The sequence below is a fragment of the Homo sapiens genome, chromosome 2, assembly GCF_000001405.40.
Source record: "Homo sapiens chromosome 2, GRCh38.p14 Primary Assembly".
Classification (NCBI taxonomy): domain Eukaryota; kingdom Metazoa; phylum Chordata; class Mammalia; order Primates; family Hominidae; genus Homo; species Homo sapiens.
Genome location: NC_000002.12, coordinates 201586498 through 201611893, shown reverse-complemented (window position 1 = coordinate 201611893; position 25396 = coordinate 201586498). Strand labels below are relative to the sequence as shown.

The 25396-nt window shown below is 37.4% G+C and overlaps 1 protein-coding gene across 19 annotated transcripts in view; it reads left to right on the top strand.

Moving 5' to 3' along the window:
* Positions 1-25396, top strand: part of CATSPERT (catsper channel auxiliary subunit tau) — a 131758-nt gene that overhangs the window by 7285 nt on the left and 99077 nt on the right. For 15 of the 19 annotated variants that reach the window (XR_007069662.1, XM_047443506.1, XM_006712336.4 and 12 more), the window contains exons 2-4: positions 7197-7283; positions 8619-8670; positions 10010-10155. The exons of the other annotated variants lie outside the window; for them this stretch is intronic. Coding sequence is in view for 14 of the 15 variants with exons in the window: in XM_047443506.1 (XP_047299462.1) it covers positions 7197-7283; positions 8619-8670; positions 10010-10155 (285 nt within the window). In the remaining variant the exon portion in view is untranslated. The remainder of the gene's footprint in view (positions 1-7196; positions 7284-8618; positions 8671-10009; positions 10156-25396) is intronic. 19 annotated transcript variants of the gene reach the window in all.

Genomic DNA, 25396 nt, shown 5'->3' with positions numbered 1-25396 from the left:
ACCACTATACTTAGTAGTACCACTAGAGCATGGAGACCTAAACGGCAAAGGGGAATCAAATTGAATCTCACCTTTTCAAAGTTGTTGGAAGATATTAGGACATTTTCAAAAATCCTTTAATTGTTAGGGATACTAGCATTCATCTGTGATAAGTGTCACAAATATTTTCTCATAATTCAACAGTTGTTTTTTTTTTGACTGTTGATAGTGCTTTTTGCTGTGCAATCCTTAGTTTCATTAATGTTTAAAATGATTTTTCTGTTCTCTATTTTATTTCTGCTCCAATCTTTATTATTTTTTTCTTCTGCTAACTTTGGGCTTACTTTGTTTTTGCTACACAGTTATTAAAAGTGTAAAGTTAGGTTGTTTATTTGAGATCTTCTTTTTTGATGTAGATATTTATTGTTCTAACCTTTCCTCTTATAACTGCTTTCGCAGCATCCCATAAGTTTGAGTATATTGTGTTTCCATTTTTGTTGGTCTCAAAATATTTTTTGATTTCTATTTGATCTCCTTTGATCCCTTAGTTATTCAGAAGCCTGTTGTTAATTTCCACGTCTTTGTGAATTTTCCAAATTTCCTGTTACTGATTTCTAGTTTCATAACATTATGTTGATTTTGTATGCTGTAACTTTACTGAATTTATTTATCAGATAGAGGAGTTTTTTGTAGGAATCTATAGGTTTTTCTAGATAAAAGATCATATCATTAGCAAATAGGGACAATTTGACTTTCCCTTTTCCAATTTGGATGCCTTTTATTTTTTTTCTCTCGCCTGATTACTCTGGCTGGGACTTTCAGTACAGTGGTGAAAGTGGGCATTCTTGTCTTATTCTAGTTCTTAGAGGAAAGGCTTTTAGCTCTTCTCCATTCAGTATGATGTTAGCCAGGCATTTGTTATATATGGGCTTTATTATGTTGAAGTACATTCCTTCTATGCCAGTTTGTTGAATTTTTTTTTATCATGAAGGGATATTGAATTTTATCAAATGCTTTCTGTGTCTATTGAGATGATCATTTGGTTTTTGCCCTTAATTCTGTTGATGTGATGTTTGATGTTTATTGATTTGCATGTGTTGAACCATCCTTGCATTCACTGGGATAAATCCCATATGATCATGGTATATATATATATTATCTTTTTGATATGCTGTTTCATTCAGTTTGCTAGTATTTTGTTGAAGATTTTTGCATCTATGTTCATTAGGGATATTGACCTATAGATTTCTTTTTTGTTGTTGTATCCTTGTCTGGTTTTTGCATCAGGGTAATACTGGCCTCAAAGAATGTGTCAGGGAGAATTCTGTCTTCTTCATTTTTTGAAATAGTTTGAGGAGAATTCATGTTAGTTCTTCTTCGAGAGTTTGGTAGAATTCAGCAGTGAAGTCATGTGGTCTGTGACTTTTCTTTGTTGAGAGACTTTTTTTTTTTTTTTTGAGACGGAGTCTCGCACTGTCACCCAGGCTGGAGTGCAGTGGCATGATCTCGGCTCACTGCAAGCTCTGCCTCCCAGGTTCACGCCATTCTCCTGCCTCAGCCTCCTGAGTAGCTGAGACTACAGGCGCCCGCCACCACGCCCGGCTAATTTTTTTTCATATATTTTAGTAGAGACGGGGTTTCACTGTGTTAGCTAGGATGGTCTCGATCTCCTGACCTCATGATCTGCCTGCCTCAGCCTCCCGAAGTGCTGGGATTACAGGCATGAGCCACCGTGCCTAGCTGAGAGACATCTTATTACTGCTTCAATCTCATTACTTGTTATTGGTCTGTTCAGGCTTTCTATTTCTTCCTAAGTCAATATTGGTCACTTGTATTTGTCTAGGAATTTATCCATTTCTTCTGAGTTTTCCAATTTGTTAGTGTATAGTTGTTTCTAATAGTCTCTGGTAATCTTTTGTATGTCTGTGACATAGTTATATTTCCTTTTTCATTTCTGAGTTTGTTTATTTGAGGTTCTCTTTTTCTTGGTTACTTTAGTAAGGTCAAAAGCCAAATTTTTGTTTTGCTGATTCTTTGTACTTTTTAAAGGTTCTATTTCAATTACTTCTGCTCTGATCTTTGTTATTTCTTTTCTTCCACTAATTTTAGGTTTGGTTTATTCTTGCTTTTCTTCTTTCTTGATGTGTATTGTTAGATTGTTTATTTGAAACCTTTCTACTTCTTTGATATAGGTGCTTACTGCTATAATCTTCCCTCTTAGCACTGCTTTTGCTGTATCCCATAGTTTTGGTATGTTGTGTTTCAATTTGTATGAGTTTCAAGAAATTTTTTAATTTTCTGTTTAATTTCTTCCTTGACCCAATGATCATTGAAGAGCATGTTGTTAATTTACCTGTGTTTGTACAGTTTCCAAAGTTCCCCTTGTTACTGATTTCTAGTTTTATTCCATTGTGGTCTCAGAAGATACTTGATATGATTTTAATGTTTTAAAATTTGGTAAGACTTGTTTTGTGTCCTAAGATATAGTCTGTCATGGAGAATTTTCCATGTGGTGATGAGAAGAGTATGTATTCGGTAGCTGTTGGATGAAATATTCTGTAAATGTCTGTTAGGTCTATTTGGTTTAATGTGTAATTTAAATCCCATGTTTCTCTGTTAGTTTTCTGTCTAGATGATCTGTCTAATGCTGAGAGTAGTGTGTTAAAGTCCCCAGATATTATTGTATTGGAGTCTATCCTTCCCTTTGGATGTAATACTATTTATATATCTGAGTACTCTGGTGTTGGGTACATAATATATTTAGAATTGTTATATCCTCTTGCTGATTTGACACATTTATCATTATATAATGACCTAATGACCTTTTTTTAAATTGTCTCTTTACTGTTTTTTACTTTAAGTCTATTTTATCTGATATAACCATAGCTACTTCTGCTCCTGGCATAGCTATTCTTGGAATATTTTTTTCTATCCCTTTACTTTCATTCTGTATGTGCCTTTACAGATGAGATGAGTTTCTTATAGGCAGCATATAGTTGGGTCATGTTTTTTTTTTTAATCAACTTTTTTGCATTTTTCTTTCTTTCTCTTTTCTTTTTTCTTTCTTTCTTTGTTTGTTTCTTTCTTTTTTTTTTTTTGAGACAGGATCTTACTCTGTCACAGAGGCTGGAGTGTAGTGGCATAATCACTGTTCACTGCAGCCTCAACCTCCTGGGCTCAGGTGATCCTCCCAACTCAGCCTCCTGAGTAGCTAGGACTGTAGGAACTCGCCACCATGCCTGGCTAATTTTTATATATTTTGTAGAGACGTGGTTTTGCCACGTAGCCCAGGCTGGTCTGGAACTCCTGGGCTCAAATGATTTGCCCACCTTGGCCTCCCAAAGTGCTGGGATTATAGGCATAAGCCACTGTGTCCAGCGTATTTTCTTTGTAGTATTGGTGAAGTGCAGTAGTGAGAAGTGGGGAAAGCATTTTGATTTTTTTAAAAACATGCATTAAAATATTCCTCGAGGGTCACATGCCCAGAGAGAGCATGAGAGCTCCATGCCCCTTCCCCTCTACCAAAATTTTAAAAAAAAGTGTATACACATTATTATCATGGTGACTGAGTTTTTTGGCATTCAGTTAAGTTTTGTGCCTGAGGCTGGGTATGATGGCTCATGCCTCTAATCCTAGTACTTTGAGAGGCCAAGGTGAGAGGATCACTTGAGCCCAGGAGTTTGAGGCTACAACGAGCTATGATTGTACCACTGCATTCCATCCTGGGTGACAAAGCAAGACCCTGTCTGCCCCATGACCCAAAAAAATTATGCTGGAGGCAATTACCCTATATGAGTCCCAGCTCAGCCAGCAGGTAGTAGGTGCTAATAAATGCTTATAGAAGGAATGCTTACCATATGTAAAATCTAGCATTGCTGTCCCATAATGCAAGCAGCATTTGTTGCTAGAGCTACATGACAAAGCTCCACAGACTGGGTATTTTAAACCTCAGACATTTATTTTCTCACAGTTTTGGGGCTTGGAAGTCCAAAATTAAGGTGGTAGAGTTGGTTTCTTCTGAGACCTCTCTTCTCAGCATATGGGATTAGGGTCCACCCTGATGACCTCATTTTAATCTAATTACCTCTTTTAAAATCCTATCTCCAAATACAATGACATTCTGAGGCACAAGGAGTGAGGATTGCAACGTATGCATTTTTGGGAAAGGCAATTCGGTTTTTAACTAGAGTAAACTCTTAAGTATTGATTACCATATACCAGGTACTGTATATTAGTTGCTTTCTTTATATTAATTTTGTGTGTGTGTGGACAGAGTCTTGTGTGTGTGTGTGTCCCCCAGGCTGGAGTGCTGTGGCAAAATCATAGCTCACTACAGCCTTGAACTCCTGGGCTCAAGCAATGATCCTACCTCAGCCCACAGGCATGTGCCATCACACCAGGCTAATTTACTTTTATCTTTTGTAGAGATGGGGGCCGGTATCACTAGGTTTCCCAGGCTGGTCTCGAACTCCTAGGCTCAAGCAGTCCTCCTGCTTTGACCTCCCAAATTGCTGTGATTACAGGTGTCAGCCACCATGTCTGACCTATTTATATTAATTTCCTTAAGTCTCACAAGAGCCCCATAAAATAGGTTCTGTTATGATTCAGCAAATTGCATGCAGCATCTCTGGGTTAGAGAGGTTAAGTAACTTGCCCAGGGTAACACAGCCAGAGAGGGCAGAAGCAAAATGTAAACTCAGTAGGTCTGGCTTCTTTTACCCAAATCCGAAAGATCGGGTCATGTTTTTTTGATCCATTTAGCCAGTGTATATCTTTGAAGTGGAGAGCTTAATTCATTCACATTCAAGGTTATTATTGATAGGTGGGGGCTTATTCTCATCATTTTATTAATTAATTTCTTGTTTTGTGTGTACTTTGTTCCTTTCTTTCTCCCTTACTATTTATTATAGTTGTTTGGTGGTTTCTGTAGTAGTAACATTTGAATCTTTACTTTAATCTTAACTCTGCAGTTAAATATATTAACTGCTCTCCATAAGTCTTTTTTTTTTTTTTTTTGAGACAGAGTCTTACTCTATCGCCCAAGCTGGAGTGCGGTGGCGCGATCTTGGCTCACTGCAATCTCCACCTTCCGGGTTGAAGGGATTCTCCTGCCTCAGTCTCCCAAGTAGCTGGAATTACAGGTGTGCACCACCACGCCCAGCTAATTTTTGTATTTTTAGTAGAGGTGGGTTTTCGCCATGTTGGCCAAGCTGGTCTCAAACTCCTGGCCTCAAGTGATACACCCACCTCGGCCTCCCAAAGTGTTGGGATTACAGGTGTGAGCCACCGTGCCTGTCCTCTCCATAAGTCTTATCCTGAAGTTTTCCCCACTATCTTTTGGTTTGGTTGAAGCTCATCTTTTAGTAGGTTTCTTGGGAGGGGCTCAAGAGTAAAATGTTATCTGGAATGCCTGTTTCATGTATTTTTTAAAATAGCCTTGATACATGAATGCTGTTACTTTGTTGGATAAAAATAGACTTGGTTGGATAAAAATCCTTGGCTTGACCTTCCTTGCCTTGAACTTTATAAAAATACAGCTCTGCAGTTGCATTGCTTTGTATGTTGCCCTTGAGAAATATGATGCCAGTCTTATTTCTTATCTTCATAGATAATTTGGTCATTTGCCTGTAGGCAAGATGTCTTTATAAAGCCTAATAATCTTACTAGGACACATCTTGGAGTTGATCATTATGAGCCAGTTTTTCTAGACACATGGTGAGTCCTATCCACATACAGATTTTTCTCTTAATACTTAAATTTTTCTTGGATTATAACTTTAAACATTCGTTTTTCCTCCATTGTTTTGTTTTACTTCGAGGATTTTTCATTTGCCTGCCTTCCAATTCAACCATTTTTCTCTGACCCTTTATGCTTCTTTCTCTATCTCATTATCATTCTCTTCACTGGTTCTTATCTTCTTCAATGCCCCTTATAAAGTTTTTTTGAATCGATGCTACCTTTGGGCACTTTATAATTTAGCATTTATTTCTGGGATGGTTTGTCTTTTTTAAAAATTTCTTTTCTGAATTGATCAACACTCATTTCATTTTTTCTTTCTTCTCTTTGGTCAACTTCTGTTTTAATTGTTGAATAAATGAATGAATTGTTAATTGTAGGCTTAAAAACATCTCCAAATGCTTGTTTGAAGATACTTAATTCAGTTTGAAATCTTATGTTATAATTTACTTCTGTTTTGTGGTTATTTGGGAGGAAGAATTTTTGTCATCTGAAGATTTCTCCCCATTTTCTCCCTATAATAGCTTTTAATGGAGTTGGTCGGATTTTCCGTATTTCTTGGCCATGGTCATTTCTTTGCCATAGTTTAAGTGTACTCTCTTCTTTCAGTGTATTGAAGCAGTTTTTTTTTAAATGGATGAAGTTGTAATTGATGGGAGGTAAGGGGAAAGGAGGGGCATAACCTGTTGTTCTCTTCGGTTTTTCTGGTATGCTTAATTTTCCCCTCTTATATCCTTCTTTCTCTTCCCTGCCATGTATGCAGGGATACCTCTTCTTCTCTGATGCCTTCACCCCAGAAGCAGTGCGCATCATGATGAGCTACTTCTGGTCCTTCTCTTTCAGGTCCCTTCTCTATGGCCATTGCTGTGAACTACCAACTCCTAGACCTGTGGTCAGAATTTTTGTGCTCAATGTTGAACTTTCTCTTTCTCAGGATGATTTTGTCTGTGCTTCCTTTTGTGTTCCCTACTCCTCTCTGTTCTTTTCCAGCATCTCTTAAGATTTCTCTTTCCTTGCTTTCTGTCCCTATAGTGTGTGTGTGCATGTGCATGTATATGTGTGTATATGTGTGTGCATGTGTGCATATATATGTTTGTGTATGTGTGTGTGTGTGTGTGTATGTATATATATATTTGATTGAGTAGAGATTCAGACTCAAAGTATCTCCTATACTAGGGCCAACTGGAATTCTCTTTATAAGCTTTTCAAGATATCCTACTAAATATTCAATTTCTTAACAAACTGAAGAACTATGTACTTTTCTCTTCTTTCATGATTCTCTTAATTTTATATTTGTGTACATTTTTATTTCTCTACTAACTTCTTATTGAGGATAGGGATGAGTTTCTTAATCATATTAATACCCCAATACCGAGGAGACCTGACACTTACTAGAGATTCATACAATAATTATTGAATTGATGTTTCATCTAGTTATGTTTGTCTTTCTCTTCCCAAATCTTAATTTATTTACATTGTAGATGCTGAGAAAAACTCTTAAAGAGTCTGATAGTGAAGAACTGGAAATAACACAGGAGACGCCAAATTTGGTGCCATTTGGGGATGTGGTATGTATGAGTAACCCTCAAAAACCTGTATAAGTTATTTATTATTTGATAATCAAACAGTATATGCAGAAAATGGTTCTCTCTGATGGCGTATTTATGAATTTTTCATTTTTATGAGTCAGAAAAACATTGTAATAATCACTGAAATTATGGAAAACATCCTGATTCACAGAAATAATATCTTCTATATTAGGGATTCCCAAATCTAGTTATATCGGAATTACCTCAGATGCTTTTTATAAAACATTAACTTGAGGCTCCACCTAAGATCTGCTAACTTAGAATCTCTAGGAGAGGAGCCTGGGAATCAGTAATTTTACTGAGCTCTTAAAGTGATTATATTTATTGCTAGATCATGCTAAAGTCTGAAAATTGATCCTGCGCCCCTCCCCGATCCAAAAAACCTCCTAGAAACAAAAGCAAACACCCCCCTCTCTCTTTCACACACACACACACACACACACATACACACACACACCACACAGAGGGAGGACGCAGTATCTAGGCTGAGAACCAGAAAAATCTGTTATTCTGTTTTCAAAGTACAGAACAAGACATGAGAATCTACATGCATATAGAACTGTCAAATATTATGACATTCATTTACAGTTATTTTTATTTTCTGAACACTATTAGAGTGGTAACTGGGTATGAAATAAGAATTTTTCTTGTCCCTCTACCTCCTATCATATACAATGTTTAATATAATATTTCTGTTGTTTTTACTTGGTTTTAAATACTAAACATGGCTAAATATATTTGGCTAATTCTCATATTAGGATTCAGATGTTCCTGCATTTATTTTGTATTTGATTTTTTGGTTAAGCACATGATGCAATTTTCTTTAACATTTAGAAAAACTTGGTGCAAGAGCATGAATATTTTACAGTCCTTGGCATGTTATAGCCAATGAATCATTGCTGAATGAATTAAGTGGTCTTAGGACACTGGATAAAAGAGTTTGTCTGAAATAAGGCACATTTCTTAATTTTATATGCAGGGTGCTATATTTTATCAGTTCTCACCTAATATCAAATAAAAACAATTTAAAGAGTGATGATCAGATTTATGTTAATAATGAATTATTATTCTTTGGCTTTGTATTCTTGTTCATTTTAGGTTTACTTTGAATGTGGCCTGCGCATTTTTCTTCTGTATTTCTGCTTTCCGATGATTTCTATTAACTAGATATTTTTCATGAGAAACAATATTTCAAATGAGAAAAACCAACAACGTGGAGTTTTACTTTTTAAAAATAGAGCTCAGTGTAAAGTGAAAGAACAGTTAACTTTTTAAATGCATTCACTGTCTGTGTTTTTGTTTTGATTGTTGTAGGTTGGCTGCCTGGGCATTCATATAAAGAACTGCAGACATTTTATGCCTAAGAGTATCCTTTCTTTTGATTTAAGAATCATAGTAATTATATCTCACTGTTTCAGTTATCCATTGCTGCATTACAAACCATTCCAAAACTTAGTGGCTTAACACATTGACCATTTTATCATCAATCACTACTGTTCATTCACTATTTGCTTCTTCTGCTTCATGATATAAAAGCTTGGGCTGTTGTCTGACAGTTCAAAAGGGCTAGAATATCTGAAGTGGCCCATTTACATGTCTAGTTGCTTTAGTGGGGATGCATGGAAGGCTAGACTTAGCAGGGATGCTGAAATGGTTGGATCTCTCTCTCTTTCCCTAAGTCCTATCATGTTTTATCCCCCTTTATTAATTTTAATTTAAAAATATATCACAGTAATATATTATTTATCTTGATTACTAGTTGTTGGTGTCCCCTTAAATTTTGTGCTCTAGTTGAGTGCCTTTTTGGCTTACTAGTCCCAACCCTAGTCACATTCCATTACATTTTATTGGTTAATGTAATCATAGAGCCAGCCCAGATTTAGTGGCAGGGGAAATAAAGTGGACTTTTTGATGTGAGAGTAACAAAAGCTTTTCAGCCATCTGTAATCACCTCAATCACCATATAAATGAAAGGAAAAATATATATCTTCTTGTATGATAATGCTAATTTATTTGTAAGTAATGTGTGCTTCCTTTAAACATTTTTAAAAGGATTTAATTTATATTGGTGCTTTTAAACAAGCTGAGTGCTTATTTTTAGATTTATCACAGCATAAAACCAGCCTCATTATGGAGATTTGATGTTTCTTTTTTATATAAAGAGAATTTTGGAAAATAATTCTGTATAATGAGATTTTTGAAGATAGTTAAATCTTGAAACAAAATTGTTTTACTCTGTAGCATTCTATGAAAGATACAATACAGACCAATATAGTATAAATGAACTATATTCTTAAGTGAATTAGAGTAGAACACTTTTTGTCTCAAAATTAAAAATAGGTTAATCTGATATATTTTTAAATATTTTGAATTTCTACATAATTTTCCTTAGGAAAAATTTCAACTATATATTGCATATACTTAGTCACCTTGAAATTAATACATAGCAAAACTTGCAAAGGAATTTTGTTGGAAATGTGAGGTTAAAAATATAAGGGATGTAAGGAAGAATCAACCTTCTTTTACTTATATTGTGTCCACCAGTGATGGGCAAAAATACTATTTTAGAATACTTTTTTTCTATTGTTTAATGCTACATGATTGATTCTTAGGTTTTGGTCTGAATCGTTTAATGTATTAATTTTATAATGTATTATTGTTCAATTACAACAAAATTTATTTCCTGAATATCATTCTATTTTCAGTCAGTTTACAACATTATGCTAATTTATTCATTCGCATCTCTATAAACAAAGCTGTGAAATGTACAAAAATGTGTAGCTTGCTATCCAAAAACGATGAGAAGAACACTGTAATTAAGTTCGATGAAGTGAAGTATTTTTCTGTACAGGTAATGTTAATATCTCTTCTAGATATTAGAATGGCTCCTTATAGTTCCAAATATTCTACCCTAATTCTGTCTTTTTATAAAAATGAGTAGAAAAGAAACAAAAGCAGTAAGTGCCTTTTTATTTGGTATCTTACAGTATTCTATTTCTATACCATGGGCTATAGTGGTGTTTTAAAAAAAGAAACAATTTTACTGCGAAATGCATAATCTTAGTAGATTTCTTTCCTGAGATGTTACTGTCTGTGGTTTCCAGTATTCATTCTGCATGTATTTATCTCTATCTTGCTCTTCTCTTCCCATCTACTGTCTTCCACCTTAGAGTTTTTCCCATCTCCTTTCCCATTCCTTTTCTTCTATCCTGTATTCCCCTTTGTCTCTAATTATTTTTTTAAGGATTAACTTAGTCAGTCTTTATTACAACCCACACACACACACACACACACACACACACACACACACACACACTATCATCCTTATTTTACGGATGAAGAAACTGAGGCACTCTGTGGTTAAGGACCTTTCTTAAGGTCATAGAGCTGGTAAGTGGTAAGTGGTTGAGCTGGGAATGTGGGCAGTCTGGTTTCAGACCACACTTCATTAAACTGCCTCACACACCGGCACTTACTATGTTTCTGTTTACAGTTAGGCTTATTAGAATCTTAAATGTATCTTAAAACTTTTTAAAAAATGGCTGGGCGCAGTGACTCACACCTGCAATCCCAGCACTTTGGGAGGCTGAAGTGGGCAGATTACTTGATGTCAGCAGTTTGAGACCAGCCTGACCAACATGGTGAAACACTCTCTACTAAAAATACAAAAATTAGCCAGGCATGGTGGTGCACACCAGTAATCCCAGCTACTCGGGAGGCTGAGGCAGGAGAATCCCTTGAACCCAGGAGGTGGAGGTTGCAGTGAGTTGAGATCATGCCATCGCACTCCAGCCTGGGCAACAAAGCTGGACTCTGTCTCAAAAAAAAAAAAAAGAATGACATTATTCCATACAGCTGCAGGATTCATCGATTTGTCCAATTATTTATTACATTAGTTGAATTTTAGGGAAATCCTAAAGCCTTTTCTCCTCTATGCTCCATATTATTTTTCAGACTTTATCTGTTTAAGTGTTGAGTAGTGAAGACAGTTTTTTATTTTTTTTATTATACTTTAAGTTCTAGGGTACATGTGCACAACATGTAGGTTTGTTACATAGGTATATATGTGCCATGTTGGCTTGCTGCACCTGTCAAGTCATCATTTACATTAGGTATTTCTCCTAATGCTATCCCTTCCCCAGCCCTCCAGCCCCCTACAGGCCCTGGTGTGTGATGTTCCCCACCCTGTGTCCATGTGTTCTCATTGTTCAATTCCCACCTATGAGTGAGAATATGCGGTGTTTGTTTTTCTGTCCTTGTGATAGTTTGCTAAGAATGATGGTTTCCAGCTTCATCCATGTCCCTGCAAAGGACATGAACTCATCCTTTTTTATGGCTGCATAGTATTCCATGGTGTATATGTGCCACATTTTCTTAATCCAGTCTGTCATTGATGGACATTTGGGTTGGTTCCAAGTCTTTGCTATTGTGAAAAGTGCCACAATAAACATACGTGTGTATGTGTCTTTATAGTAGCATGATTTATAATCCTTTGGGTATATGCCCAGTAATGGGATCGCTGGGTTAAATGGTATTTCTAGTTCTAGATCCTTGAGGAATCGCCACACTGTGAAGACAGTTTTTTAAGCATAGGTTTTTGTTGTTGTTGTTGTTTGTTTGTTTGTTTTAAGCAATGAAAAAACAAGGAATAGTTTTGCTGGAGGCAACACATACTGTTTGTTTTACTCTGCAAATAGTTTTTCCTAAGCTTCATTGGCAAATTCTCAAGAATTTGGGGGATATATGTCCATTTAAATAAAATTTGAAACATTAATACTTGAAAATAATGTAAAGTATATAGTAAGGTGTTTATCTTCATTAGCATAATCAAAATCTGTTTCCTGTATTTATTTAAATAGGTACTGTTAGTTTGAGCACATTAAAAGGACAGTTTTAATGGAACTCTAATAGAAAGTTTGAGAATGACTTAATAATTACACAGAAAATTGGACAAGCAAACAAAGAAACATAAAAAAGCAAGACACATGTTAACTACAGGGAAATTAAAAATGATACAGGAAAGGAAATATAATTATTGTAATATATTGTTAAACTCTGACAGTTACACATATAAACTAATATAAACACTAACAATCTAACAAAAATGTATGTTATAGAATATATTGGAGGAATGGCGAGAAGTATGAAAACTGTCAGGGGAGAATTGAGAGATAATATTTTTCTTCCACAATATGCAGTTAGTAGTTAGTATTTCAAACTAAAAAAAAATCAATGAATAATATAAACATGTTACTTAGAAACATGAAGGCAAAACTTAGAGAAATTTATTTAGAGGTCGAAAAGGCAGCTTCTGAGGAATGGAAATTAGGGGGTGAGTGGGGTGGAATTCTAAAATTGCACCCAGGATTTAACTTACAGAAGTATGACTGTATGAAAACGTGGAGAGGTACTGTCATTGAAAAAAGAATTTGTTATATTCTCTGAGAGTAGGGGACATGACACACCACTGAGGGCCACAGGGGAAGTATCAGAATGGTCAGGAGGCAGAGGACAGGAGTGAGGGGAGAGTCTAGGCCTTTTGGGGGTTGCTGAGGGAAAGGCAAGCCAGGAAACCAGTTTAGGATTGGCTAGTTTGAATAATTTCAGGGGTCTTTGGGTTATAGGAATGGTCTCTAGTTTTCTAATACCTGGCCCTGGGATAATTTAGGGCAAGGGAAATGTGTGTGAGAATTAGATTAGGAGGTGGTTGGCTGGGCACGGTAGCTCATGCCTGTAAGCCCAGCACTTTGGGAGGCCGAGGAGAGCAGATCACTTAAGGTCAGGAGTTCGAGACCAGCCTGATTAACATGGTGAAACCCGTCTCTACTAAGAATACAAAACTTAGCTGGGTGTGGTGACACATGCCTGTAATCTCAGCTACCTGGGAGGTTGAGGCAAGAGAATCGCTTGAACCCGAGAGACAGAGTTTGCAGTGAGCCAACATGGCACTACTGCACTCCAGCCTGGGCAACAAAGTGAGACCAAAAAAAAAAAGTGGTTGGAGCTATAGCCTTGGGATTGGTTAGTTTGCAAATAAAAGATGTGCTCTCTGCTAAGCCTTTGCTGTCTCTAGCAGTCTAACCCTGGGAGGGGACGTCTCTCCCTCAACAAGATTTTTAAGATGCCAGAACATCATAACTTACAGAAGCTTTTTTTTTTTCTTAAAAACAAAACAAAATGTGATTGACTGAGCATAGTGGCTCACGCCTATAATCCCAGGATTTTGGGAGGCCAAAGCAGGAGGAATGCTTGAGGCCTGGAGTTCAAAACTGGCCTGGTCAACATAGTGAGGCCCCATCTCTACAAAATAAATATTAAAAAATTAACTGGGTGTGGTGGCATGTACCTGTAGTGCCAGCTACTCTGGAGGCTGAGGCAGAGGATGGCTTGCACCCAGTAGTTTGAGGCTGCAGTGAGCCATGATCCTATCACTGCACTCCAGCTTGAGTGACAGAGTGAGACCCTGTCTCAAAAATATCAAACCAAAACAAACAACAAAAACAACAAAAAACCATGATTAATACAGGCGGGAGTAAGAAAAAAGTTGTTTCTTTGTTTTAACCATTGTAGAAATTCTTGACTTTATATAGTATATAATTAGGATAAAATAAAATTACATTGCATACGCTTTAGGACTTTAATTTGCTAAAATGTACAACATAGATCTAGGTTAAAATTTTTTAAATCCATGCAAACTAACAACTGAAAATACATAGGAAGTGGATTTAACTTAGTTTAATTGTTCCAGAAAGCTGCTGGGAAAGTGATATAAAAACTCAGACTGAAGAATGAGTAGTAGTGGATTTCTGGTTCTGGCCATGCTGGAATAGCTGGTATTGGACTCACTCGTCTGCTCTAAACAGCTATGAAACAGAAAACTACATGAAGGAACTATATCCTGGCATTGAACAATGGAAAGTGGAAGGAGGCACTTCTAAAGAGAAGGGAAGCACAAGCGGTGAGCTCCACATTTACAGCAGCTTTTTATCTGGCAGTGATTCCCGCACAGCGGAGTGAAACCCAAGCAGAGAGAAACCCAAGCAGAGAATGGCGGTCTTGGTGCGTGGAGGAAGCAGACGCTGAGCAGAGGGAGAAGAGAAAGCAGAGATGGCAATTTAGGGCTCCTACGGGGGCTGGAATTTGTTGAGCAGGTTTCTAAAGAAAAAGGAATAGCAGATAAAGAGCCCAGAAATCTATGTAGTTATTCTTCTCAGGTTCTTGGCTGAAAATAAGTTGGGTGTGTACAGGGTAAGCCTCCAGGAGAAACTACAGAGAACAGACGCTGGAGGGCTGAGAGCTGACTAGAAAGTTCAGAAGTCCGAATTCAGAGTTATTGGAGTCTGAGCAAAAGCAGAGAGTTCTCATTAAATAGTCCCAGAATTCTGTTGAGATCCCAGAAAGGCCAAGTTTTAAGAGCAAGGACCATGTTCTACAGAAACTGAAATAGACCCATCCTCTAACGAAGCCTCTATAGGACGAACATAATCTGCCAGGAATTGCCTTCCAAAAAAGAACTGAACACTTTTTAGAGGAAGATATTTAAAAAATCCAGAGTCTCTATCATTTATAATGTTCATTCATAGAATAAAAAATTACCACTTATGGAGGGATAAAAGCAGTCAATAGAAGTAAACCCACAGATGACCCAGATGTTCAAATTAGAGACAAGAACTTTAAAATAACTGTCATAAACGTATCAACGTGGAAACAGTGTACAAATGGTGGGCAAAATGGGAATTTTGAAGACAGTGAAAATGGAAGAGAACCAAGTAAAAATTCTAGATCTAAAAAATACAGTATTTGAAATGGATAATTCATTGAAGGACTTAAAAGCATTCTGGAAACAGTAAGAGAAAGGATCTGTGAACTGAAAGACTGGTCAATCAAAATCATTCAAATTGAAGCTCAGAGGAAAAAAAGAATGGAAAAATGTAAGAAACTGGTGGGATACTGTCACTCAATTTATAACATATAGTTGAGTCCCAGAGGAAGAGAGGAGGAAATATTTTTTTTTAACTTTTAAGTTCTGGGGTACATGTGCAGGCTTGGTACATAGGTAAACTTGTGTCATGGGGGTTTGTTGTACAGATTATTTCATCACCAGGTATTAAGCCTAGTACTCAGTTATTTTTCTGATCCTCTGCCTCTTCCTATCTTCTACCCTCTGATAGGCCCCACTGTGTATTGTTCCCCTCTATGTGTCCATGTGTTCTAATCATTTAGCTCCCACCTATAAGTGAGAACATGTAGCATTTGTTTTTCTGTTCCTGTGCTAGTTTGCTAAGGATAATGGCCTCCAGCTCCATCCATGCCCCTGGAAAGGATATGATCTCCATCTTTTTTATGGCTGCATAGTATTCCATGGTGTATATGTACTACATTTTCTTTATCCAGTCTATCATTGATGGGCTTTCAGGTTGATTCCATGTCTTTGTCCTTGTGAATGGTGCTGCAATGAGCATATACGTGCATGTATTTTTATAACAGAACAATTCATATTCTTTTGGGTATATACCCAGTAATGGGATTGCTGTGTCAAATGGTATTTTTGTTTTTAGGTCTTTGAGGAATCACCACACTGTCTTCCACCATGGTTGAACTTATTTATACTCCCACCAACAGTGTATAAGCATTCCTTTTTCTCTGCAACTTCGTCAGCATCTGTTTTTTTTTTTTTTTTTTTGAGTTTTTAGTAATAGCCATTCTGACTGGTGTGAGATGGTATCTCATTGTGGTTTTGATCTGCATTTCTCTAATGATCAGTGATGTTGAGCTTTTTTTCACATGATTGTTGGCCACATGTGTGTCTTCTTTTGAAAAGTATCCGTTTGTCTGTGCCCTGCCAAACAAAAAGACAGCAGTAACCTCTGCAGACTTAAATGTCCCTGTCTGACAGCTTTGAAGAGAGCAGTGGTTCTCCCAGCACGCAGCTGGAGATCTGAGAACGGGCAGACTGCATCCTCAAGTGGGTCCCTGACCCCTGACCCCCGAGCAGCCTAACTGGGAGGCACTCCCCAGCAGGGGCAGACTGACACCTCACACGGCCGAGTACTCCAACAGACCTGCAGCTGAGGGTCCTGTCTGTTAGAAGGAAAACTAACAGGCCGGGCGCGGTGGCTCACGCCTGTAATCCCAGCACTTTGGGAGGCCGAGGCGGGCGGATCACGAGGTCAGGAGATCGAGACCATCCTGGCTAACACGGTGAAACCCCGTCTCTACTAAAAATACAAAAAATTAGCCGGGCGAGGTGGCGGGCGCCTGTAGTCCCAGCTACTCGGGAGGCTGAGGCAGGAGAATGGCGTGAACCCGGGAGGCGGAGCTTGCAGTGAGCCGAGATCCCGCCACTGCACCCCAGCCTGGGCGACAGTGAGACTCCGTCTCAAAAAAAAAAAAAAAAAGAAGGAAAACTAACAAACAGAAAGGACATCCACACCAAAAACCCATCTGTACATCACCATCATCAAAGGCCGAAAGTAGATAAAACCACAAAGATGGGGAAAAAGCAGAGCAGAAAAACTGGAAACTCTAAAAAACAGAGCGCCTCTCCTCCTCCAAAGGAACGCAGTTCCTCACCAGCCACGGAACAAAGCTGGACGGAGAATGACTTTGACGAGCTGAGAGAAGAAGGCTTCAGACAATCAAATTACTCCGAGCTACGGGAGGACATTCAAACAAAGGCAAAGAAGTTGAAAACTTTGAAAAAAATTTAGAAGAATGTATAACTAGAATAAACAATACAGAGAAGTGCTTAAAGGAGCTGATGGAGCTGAAAACCAAGGCTCGAGAACTACGTGAAGAATGCAGAAGCCTCAGGAGCCGATGCGATCAACTAGAAGAAAAGGTATCAGCAATGGAAGATGAAATGAATGAAATGAAGTGAGAAGGGAAGTTTAGAGAAAAAAGAATAAAAAGAAACGAGCAAAGCCTCCAAGAAATATGGGACTATGTGAAAAGACCAAATCTACGTCTGATTGGTGTACCTGAAAGTGACGGGGAGAATGGAACCAAGTTGGAAAACACTCTGCAGCATATTATCCAGGAGAACTTCCCCAATCTAGCAAGGCAGGCCAACATTCAGATTCAGGAAATACAGAGAATGCCACAAAGATACTCCTTGAGAAGAGCAACTCCAAGACACATAATGGTCAGATTCACCAAAGTTGAAATGAAGGAAAAAATGTTAAGGGCAGCCAGAGAGAAAGGTCGGGTTACCCTCAAAGGGAAGCCCATCAGACTAACAGTGGATCTCTCGGCAGAAACTCTACAAGCCAGAAGAGAGTGGGGGCCAATATTCAACATTCTTAAAGAAAAGAATTTTCAACCCAGAATTTCATATCCAGCCAAACTAAGCTTCATAAGTGAAGAAGAAATAAAACACTTTACAGACAAGCAAATGCTGAGAGATTTTGTCACCACCAGGCCTGCCCTAAAAGAGCTCCTGAAGGAAGTGCTAAACATGGAAAGGAACAACCAGTACCAGCTGCTGCAAAATCATGCCAAAATGTAAAGACCATCGAGGCTAGGAAGAAACTGCATCAACTAACGAGCAAAATAACCAGCTAACATCATAATGACAGGATCAAATTCACACATAACAATATTAACCTTAAATGTAAATGGACTAAATGCTCCAATTAAAAGACACAGACTGGCAAATTGGATAAAGAGTCAAGACCCATCAGTGTGCTGTATTCAGGAAACCCATCTCATGTGCAGAGACACACATAGGCTCAAAATAAAAGGATGGAGGAAGATCTACCAAACAAATGGAAAACAAAAAAAGGCAGGGGTTGCAATCCTAGTCTCTGATAAAACAGACTTTAAACCAACAAAGATCAAAAGAGACAAAGAAGGCCATTACATAATGGTAAAGGGATCAATTCAACAAGAAGAGCTAACTATCCTAAATATATATGCACCCAATACAAGAGCACCCAGTTTCATAAAGCAAGTCCTGAGTGACCTACAAAGAGACTTAGACTCCCACACATTAATAATGGGAAACTTTAACACCCCACTGTCAACATTAGATCAATGAGACAGAAGGTCAACAAGGATACCCAGGAATTGAACTCAGCTCTGCACCAAGCGGACCTAATAGACATCTACAGAACTCTCCACCCCAAATCAACAGAATATACATTTTTTTCAGCACCGTAACACACCTATTCCAAAATTGACCACATAGTTGGAAGTAAAGCTCTCCTCAGCAAATGTAAAAGAACAGAAATTATAACAAACTATTTCTCAGACCACAGTGCAATCAAACTAGAACTCAGGATTAAGAATCTCACTCAAAACCGCTCAACTACATGGAAACTGAACAACCTGCTCCTGAATGACTACTGGGTACATAACAAAATGAAGGCAGAAATAAAGATGTTCTTTGAAACCAACGAGAACAAAGATACAACATACCAGAATCTCTGGGACACATTCAAAGCAGTGTGTAGAGGGAAATTTATAGCACTAAATGCCCACAAGAGAAAGCAGGAAAGATCTAAAATTGACACCCTAACATCACAATTAAAAGAACTAGAAAAGCAAGAGCAAACACATTCAAAAGCTAGCAGAAGGCAAGAAATAACTAAAATCAGAGCAGAACTGAAGGAAATAGAGACACAAAAAACCTTTCAAAAAGTTAATGAATCCAGCAGCTGGTTTTTTGAAAGGATCAACAAAATTGATAGACCGCTAGCAAGACTAATAAAGAAAAAAAGAGAGAAGAATCAAATAGATGCAATAAAAAATGATAAAGGGTATATCACCACCGATCCCACAGAAATACACACTACCATCAGAGAATACTACAAACACCTCTATGCAAATAAACTAGAAAATCTAGAAGAAATGGATAAATTCGTCGGCACATACACTCTCCCAAGACTAAACCAGGAAGAAGTTGAATCTCTGAATAGACCAATAACAGGCTCTGAAATTGTGGCAATAATCAATAGCTTACCAACCAAAAAGAGTCCAGGACCAGATGGATTCACAGCCGAATTCTACCAGAGGTACAAGGAGGAACTGGTACCATTCCTTCTGAAACTATTCCAATAAATAGAAAAAGAGGGAATCCTCCCTAACTCATTTTATGAGGCCAGCATCATCCTGATACCAAAGGCGGGCAGAGACACAACCAAAAAAGAGAATTTTAGACCAATATCCTTGATGAACATTGATGCAAAAATCCTCAATAAAATACTGGCAAACCGAATCCAGCAGCACATCAAAAAGCTTATCCACCATGATCAAGTGGGCTTCATCCCTGGGATGCAAGGCTGGTTCAATATATGCAAATCAATAAATGTAATCCAGCATATAAACAGAACCAAAGACAAAAACCACATGATTATCTCAATAGATGCAGAAAAGGCCTTTGACAAAATTCAACAACCTTTCATGCTAAAAACTCTCAATAAATTAGGTATTGACGTATTTCAAAATAATAAGAGCTATCTATGACAAACCCACAGCCAATATCATACTGAATGGGCAAAAACTGGAAGCATTCCCTTTGAAAACTGGCACAAGACAGGGTTGCCCTCTCTCACCACTCCTATTCAACATAGTGTTGGAAGTTCTGGCCAGGGCAATTAGTCAGGAGAAGGAAATAAAGGGTATTCAATTAGGAAAAGAGGAAGTCAAATTGTCCCTGTTTGCAGACGACATGATTGTATATCTAGAAAACCCCATTGTCTCAGCCCAAAATCTCCTTAAGCTGATAAGCAACTTCAGCAAAGTCTCAGGATACAAAATCAATGTACAAAAATCGCAAGCATTCTTATACACCAATAACAGACAAACAGAGAGCCAAATCATGAGTGAACTCCCATTCACAATTGCTTCAAAGAGAATAAAATACCTAGGAATCCAACTTACAAGGGATGTGAAGGACCTCTTCAAGGAGAACTACAAACTACTGAGCAAGGAAATAAAAGAGGATACAAACAAATGGAAGAATATTCCATGCTCATGGGTAGGAAGAATCAATATCGTGAAAATGGCCATACTGCCCAAGGTAATTTACAGATTCAATGCCATCCCCATCAAGCTACCAATGACTTTCTTCACAGAATTGGAAAAAGCTACTTTAAAGTTCATATGGAACCAAAAAAGAGCCCGCATTGCCAAGTCAATCCTAAGCCAAAAGAACAAAGCTGGAGGCATCACACTACCTGACTTCGAACTATACTACAAGACTACAGTAACCAAAACAGCATGGTACTGGTACCAAAAGAGAGATATAGATCAATGGAACAGAGCAGAGCCCTTAGAAATAACGCCACATATCTACAACTATCTGATCTTTGACAAACCTGAGAAAAACAAGCAATGGGGAAAGGATTCCCTATTTAATAAATGGTGCTGGGAAAACTGGCTAGCCATATGTAGAAAGCTGAAACTGGATCCCTTCCTTACACCTTATACAAAAATCAATTCAAGATGGATTAAAGACTTAAAACGTTAGACCTAAAATCATAAAAACCCTGGAAGAAAACCTAGGCATTACCATTCAGGACATAGGCATGGGCAAGGACTTCATGTCTAAAACACCAAAAGCAATGGCAACAAAAGCCTAAATTGACAAATGGGATCTAATTAAACTAAAGAGCTTCTTGCACAGCAAAAGAAACTACCATCAGAGTGAACAGGCAACCTACAAAATGGGAGAAAATTTTCGCAACCTACTCATCTGACAAAGGGCTAATATCCAGAATCTACAATGAACTCAAACAAATTTACAAGAAAAAAACAACCCCATCAAAAAGTGGGCAAAGGACATGAACAGACACTTCTCAAAAGAAGACATTTATGCAGCCAAAAAACACTTGAAAAAATGCTCTCCATCACTGGCCATCAGAGAAATGCAAATCAAAACCACAATGAGATACCATCTCACACCAGTTAGAATGGCAATCATTAAAAAGTCAGGAAACAACAAGTGCTGGAGAGGATGTGGAGAAATAGGAACACTTTTACACTGCTGGTGGGACTGTAAACTAGTTCAACCATTGTGGAAGTCAGTGTGGCCATTCCTCAGGGATCTAGAACTAGAAATACCATTTGACCCAGCCATCCCATTACTGGGTATATACCCAAAGGACTATAAATCATGCTGCTATAAAGACACATGCACACATATGTTTATTGCGGCATTATTCACAATAGCAAAGACTTGGAACCAACCCAAATGTCGAACAATGATAGACTGGATTAAGAAAATGTGGCACATATACACCATGGAATACTATGCAGCCATAAAAAATGATGAGTTCATGTCCTTTGTAGGGACATGGATGAAATTGGAAATCATCATTCTCAGTAAACTATCGCAAGAACAAAAAACCAAACGCCACATATTCTCACTCATAGGTGGGAATTGAACAATGAGAACACATGGACACAGGAAGGGGAACATCACACTCTGGGGACTGTTGTGGGGTGGGGGGAGGAGGGAGGGATAGCATTGGGAGATATACCTAATGCTAGAGGATGAGTTATTGGGTGCAGTGCACCAGCATGGCACATGTATACATATGTAACTAACCTGCACATTGTGCACATGTACCCCAAAACTTAAAGTATAATAATAATAAATAAATAAATAAATAAATAAAAAGAAAAGTATCCGTTTATGTCCTTTGTCTGCTTTTTAATGGGGTTGTTTGTTTTTTTCTTGTAAATTTGTTTAAGTTCCATATAGATGCTGGATATTAGACCTTTGTTAGATGCATAGTTTGCAAAAATTTTCCCCCATTCTTTAGGTTGTCTGTTTACTCTGTTGATTATTTTGCTGTGCAGAAGCTCTTTAGTTTAATTAGATCCCATTTGTCAATTTTTGCTTTTGTTGAGATTGCTTTTGGTGTCTTCATGATGAAATCTTTGTCCCTGCCTATGTCCTGAATGGTATTGCTTAGGTTGTCTTCCTGGGTTTTTATATTATAGTTTTGGGTTTTACATTTAAATATTTAATCAATCTTGAGTGAATTTTTGTATATGGTATAAGGTAGAGGTCCAGTTTCAATCTTCTGCATATGGCTCGCCAGTTATCCCAGCACCATTTATTGAATAGGGAATCCTTTCCCTATTGGTTGTTTTTGTCAGGTTTGTCAAAGATCAGATAGTTGTAGGTGTGTGGTCTTATTTCTGGGTTCTCTGTTCTGTTCCTTTGGTCTATGTGTCTGTTTTTGTACCAGTACCATGCTGTTTTGGTTACGTAGCCCTGTAGTATAGTTTGAAGTTGGGTAGTGTGATGCCTCTAGCTTTGTTATTTTTGCTTAGGATTGCTTTGGTTATTTGGGCTCTTTTTTGGTTCTATATGAATTTTAAAGTAGTTTTCTCTAGTTCTTTGAAGAATCTCAATGGGGGTTTAATAAGAATAGCATTGAATCTATAAATTTATTTGGGCAGTAATGGCCATTTTAATGATATTGATTCTTTCTATGCATGAGCATGGAATGTTCTACCATTTGTTGTGTCATCCCTGACTTCTTTGAGCAGTGGTTTGTAGTTCTCCTTGTAGAGATCTTTCACCTCTCTAGTTAGCTGTACTCCTAGGTATTTTATTCTTTTTATAGCAGTTGTGAATGGGAGTTCATTCCTGATTCAGTTCTTGGCTTGTTGTTGGTGTATAGGAATGCTAGTGATTTTTGCACATTGATTTTGTATCCTAGGACTTTGCTGAAGTTGTTTATCAGTTTTAGAAGCTTTTGGGGTGAGACTATGGGGTTTTGTAGATGTAGGATTATGTCATCTGCAAACGGATAGTTTGACTTCCTCTGTTCCTATTGGGATACCTTTTATTTCTTTTACTTGCCTGATTGCCCTGGCCAGGATTTCCAATGCTATGTTGACTAGGAGTGGTGAGAGAGGGCATCCTTGTCTTGTGCCAGTTTTTAAGGGGAATAGGGAATTGGTTTGGATTTACATCCATTGTTTTTGAAGCACATCAGCTGAATAAAGTTGAGGTTTGTTAAAAAAAAAAAAAGAGTAGGGAACCATTGCCCATTCAGTGTGATGTTGGCTGTGGGTTTCAACTAGGTATTGAAGGACCATACCTCAGAATAATAATATCTTTCTTATTATTCTGAGGTATGGTCCTTCAATACCTAGTTTATTGAGAGTGTTTGACATGAATGGTATTGAATTTTATTCAATAGCTGCATTATCTGCATCTATTGAGATAATCATGTGGGTTTTGTCTTTAGTTCTGTTTATGCGATTGATCACATTTATTGATTTGTATACGTCAAACCAACCTTGCATCCCAAGGATAAAGCCTACTTGACAGTGGTGGGCAAGCTTTTTGATCTGCTGCTAAATTCAGTTTGCCAGTATTTTGTTGAGGATTTTTGCATCAATGTTCATCAAGGATATTGGCCTAAAGTTTTCTTTTTTGTTGAATCTCTGCCAAGTTTTCATCAGGGTGATGCTGGCCTCATAGAATGAGTTAGGGAGGCGTCCCTTCTGCTCAATTTTGGGGAATAGTTTCAGTAGGAATGGTACTAGCTCTTCTTTGTACATCTGGTAGAATTCAGCTATGAATTCATCTGGTCTTGGGCTTTTTCTGGTTGGTAGGCTATTTATTATTGCTTCAATTTCAGAGCTTGTTATTGGTCTATTCAGGGATTCAGTTTCTTCCTGGTTCAGTCTTGGGAGGGTATATGTGACCATGAATTTATCCATTTCTTGGAGATTTTCTAGTTTATTTGCATAGTGGTGTTCATAATATTCTCTAATGGTTGTTTGTATTTTTGTGGGGTCAGTGGCAATATCCCCCTTGTCGTTTCTGGTTGTCTTTATTTGAATCCAGAAGAGGAAATATTTAAAGAACTAATGACCTAAGTCTTCCCCAAATTGATTAAAAATCCATCCATAGATTCAAGAAACTCAGTGAACCTTAAGTGAGTAAGTACAGAAATGATCACACATATGTACGTCCCATTCAAACTGCTGAAAACAAAAGATAATGAGAAAATCTTAAAGGCAGCCAGAGGAGGGAAAAACACATTACATTCAGATGCACAACAATAAGAATATCAGCTGACTCTCCATCAGAAACAATGTAAATCGGAGGACAAGAGAATGCCAGCTTTAGAATGCTGGGAGGCGGGGAAATTCAGCCTAGATTTCTATATTCAGTGAGAATATACTTCAAAAAGATGGTGAAAGACAAAAGCTGAGAGAATTTGTATCTAGAAGACCTGCATTGTAATAAATATCAAAGAAAGCTTCAGGTTGAAGACAAATGATCCCAGATAGAAGCCCAGATATACAGGAAGGAAGAGCACTAGAAATGGTAAATGAGTGGGTAAAAATACAAGACTATTAAAAAAATTTATCCAAAAGACAATTGAGTTTTATTATTTAAAAACACAATAATGTCAATGAATGATAGGAATTGTAGCATATGTAGAAGTGCAATACATGGCCAGAATAGCACAGAGAATGAGGAGGTGTAAATAGAATTATGCTATTGGACATGGTGGTTTAATTTTAATTCAAGATACATTGTGATATGTGAAAGATCCATATTATAATCCCTACAGCAACCACTAAAAGTTAAACAAAATTGTATTAGGAAGGAAGAAAGGAGAAAGAGAGGGAGGGAGCCAGGGAGAAGGGGGGAAGGAGGGAGGAAGATGAGTGTGGAAACTAAATTAGCATTAAATTTGAGAACTTAGAAAATGACAGTAAAACTTTAGGAAATCAAGAGGAAGAAATTAGTAACAAAAGAAATAAATGAGGTATTTACAACAGTATAGATGTTAAAGAAATGTAACAATACAAAAGCTAATTAGTAATAAAAGTAACACAGTAGGCACAATTCTGGTAAGTCTCATTAAGAAAATTATGCAAAATTTGGAATATAGGTATAAATATGAAGGCAGTTAAAAACTGTAAGAGAATACCATATATAACTCTATGCTAAAAATTTGAAAATATTGATGAAATAGAATATTATATTAGAAAAATATAAATTACATTATGTTTTATCTGTATCTTTTGTAAACTGAATATAGATTTAAAATATCCAGTCTGACAGTCTTTTTATTTTATCTACATCTGTTAGTGTAGTAGTTAATATA